Raw genomic sequence first — 3,229 nt, forward strand, 5'->3', positions numbered from 1 at the left:
CCATGTGTCTATGGTCAACTGATTTTCTGAAAGAGTGCCAAATTCCATCATTGGAGAAAAAGTCTTTCAACAAGTGATACGAACCACTAATTTGTCTCTAATAAAAACAAACAAGCAAACAAAACAAACAAAAGACAAGTTGTACTAAGAAAACTGAATAGTCACATGCAAAATAATAAAATTAAACTCTTACCTCCTACTGTATACAAAAATTAACTGAAAATAAATCTGTGACCTAAATGTTAAGAGTTAAAGCAATGGAACTCTTAGAAGAAAAGCAGAGGAAAATTTTCCTGACCTTAGATTTAGCAGTGCATTCTTAGAAATGAAACAAAACCATGAGAAACCAATAAAATTGATAAATTTTATTTAACTTGATATTGAAATTTTATTTAACTTGATAAATTGATAAATTGAACTTTATCAAAATAAAAAAAAACTTGTGTTTCGACAGACATTATTTTCCTTTAGCTTTTATTTTAAGTTCAGGGATACTTGTGCAGGTTTGTTATATAGGTAAACTTGTGTCATGCAGGTTTGTTATACAAATTATTTCATCACCCAGGTATTAAGCCTCGTACCCATTACTTATTTTTCCTGATCCTCACCCACCTCCCAACCTCTACCCTCTGAGGGTCCCCAGTGTGCGTTGTTCCCCTCTATGTGTCTGTGTGTTCTCATAATTTAGCTCCCATTTATAAGCAAGAACATGCAGTATTTCGTTTTCTGTTGCTGTGTTAATTCGTTAAGGATAATGGCCTCTAGCGCCATCCATGTCCTTGAAAAGGACATGATCTCATTCTTTTTGTGGCTGCATAGTATTCCATTCAACAGACATTATTAAGAAAGGGAGAAGGCAACCCGCAGAATGGGAAAATATTTGCAAATCATATATCTGATCTGAAAGTTTTATCTATATTAAATACTATTACAACTCAATAAAGTAAATAAAAAAGTCAAAAATCTCATGAAAAATGGGTAAAAGATCAAAATAGAAATTTCCCCGTGGAAGATATATGAAAGCCAATAAGCACTTGCAAGTATTTCATGTCATTAATCATAAGGGAACTGCAAATCCAAACCACAGTGGAATAGCTCTTTCCGCCCATTAGAATGACATGTACATTGGAGACGTGAAAACATATGTCCAAGCAAAAACTTGTACTTGGATGTTTATAGCACATTATTCACAATAGTGAAAAGATGGGAACAACCCAAATAAATATTTATCAGTTGAACAATGGATGTAAAAAATATGTATATCCTTGCAATGGAATAACAATATATGTTATAGCATGAATGGCACTTGAAAAGATTATACCGAGTGGAAGAAGCTAGTCACAAAATAATACATATTATATGATGCCATTTATATTCAATGTCCAGAGTAGGCAAATTTATGAGACAGAATCCATATTAGTGTTTGCTTAGGTTTGAGGACCTAGGGTAATGTTGAATAAAGAGTGTGGGGTTTCTTTTTGAGGTGAAGTAATTATTCAATAACTGACTGAAGATAGTTGTGCATATTTGTGAAAACACTAAAAAAATTGAATTGCACACATTAAATGGATGAATAGCATGGCATGGGATCTGCATCTAAATATAAATGTTTGTAAAAAGAAACTGAAAAAATAACTTTTTGATAGACTCATTTATAGGCCTATAACCATAGTTAACCACTTATATTTATCTACATTGGATGCTAATATTTTTCTTATAACAGAGACCCTGTTTATGATATATTTTCAATTCCCATCACTTCCACTCTGTCAAGCACAATCTCTTCATAAATTACATCTTCAAAAATATATGGCACTAGTATTATTGTGTATTTGTTAGGAATGTAGTTAGGAAATGGGACTTACATATCTAATATCCTGCAAAACATTTGGTTGGTGCAAAAGTAATTGCTTTTTTTGCATCACTTTTAATAAGATCAACTGTGGTTCCAGTTGTGTCTTTGCTATTTACCATTTGTTAACTTTGGAATGTCATTTATCATTTCTAAGACGTAATTTCATATTTATAAACTTGATACCATGTATGTATCTTACCAACTTGTTTTATCTTAGAGATGAATGGGACAGTGTATATTTAAGGATTCACCTTGGGTTTGATGGATAATAAACGTTAACTGTCTACCCACATTATCCTTTAAATGTTAAAGATATCATAGCCATCTTTTTGCACAGATTGAATAGATAGGGATCCATAAAAAGGATGATTTTGTATTTCATAACCTGCTTTTATTAGTGTAAATATAAGATGATCTTTTTAAAAAGTTATTTATCTCCCAGCTACTCAGGAGGCTAAGGCAGGAGAATCCCTTGATCCCAGAGGTGGAGGTTTCAGTGAACAGAGATCATGCCACTGCACTCCAGCCTGGACGACAGAGTGAGACTCTGTCTCAAAAAAAAAAATTATTTATCCAGGAGATGTTATAACTCAAATAACTATGAATTACAACAGAAACTTTTTTTGTTTTTGCAAAATTAGAATAAGTAACTTGATTTAATTCTCACATTTATGATTAATCTGTTGTGTGAATGTCATAATGATCAGTCATTAAATTTCAGTTTTCTGAATAGTAAACTCTGAGCAACTGAATATAGTTGAAGATGAAAAATAGAAATTTATGACTAAGTGATCATTTTTTAAAAGTTATATCCTCATCTAAAGTTTAAACATTATTTTATAAATATTAGATTTTTGCCTCTGTTGTGATAAGTGTTTCCTTAATCTAGTAACTAGATAATGATACTCAAGTAATTTTTCTCCCACTTCAGAAAATAAATGCATGTGTATTTGCTATTTCCCTGACAATAATGCAAAATCTTTGTAAAATCTCAGTAATTTGTAGGCATTGAGGATCAAGTCAGTCTGAATTACTGGGAGAAAACATCAATTATTTCTAAGCTTAGTTGGACCTGCAGTGATGAATAAACATGGGTCTGGAGTACTTAAAAATGAGTATATTATATTTTAAAAGTTAACTATTTTTGATCTTGTAACTTGATATTGATTGGCTTAGAAAGCTTTGTTCTTCTTATATTGTAGGACAGTGAACTTTATTCTAGCGCATGTTAAATAATCACAATCAAACATATGCTATATTTTTCATGTTTATTTGGCTAGCATTGAATTAGGATTCCTTTAGTTTCAAATTTTAACACATACAGCTATAAACCGCTTCAATACAGTAGGAGGGCAATTGTGTTTTATTACATAC

At 31.4% G+C, this 3,229-nt stretch overlaps 1 long non-coding RNA gene across 1 annotated transcript in view; it reads right to left on the reverse strand.

The window, feature by feature from the left end:
- LOC102723724 (uncharacterized) overlaps positions 1-3,229 on the reverse strand; it is a 104,643-nt gene that overhangs the window by 19,121 nt on the left and 82,293 nt on the right. The window lies entirely within an intron of this gene.

Source organism: Homo sapiens, chromosome 6 (genome assembly GCF_000001405.40).
Source record: "Homo sapiens chromosome 6, GRCh38.p14 Primary Assembly".
Classification (NCBI taxonomy): Eukaryota; Metazoa; Chordata; class Mammalia; order Primates; family Hominidae; genus Homo; species Homo sapiens.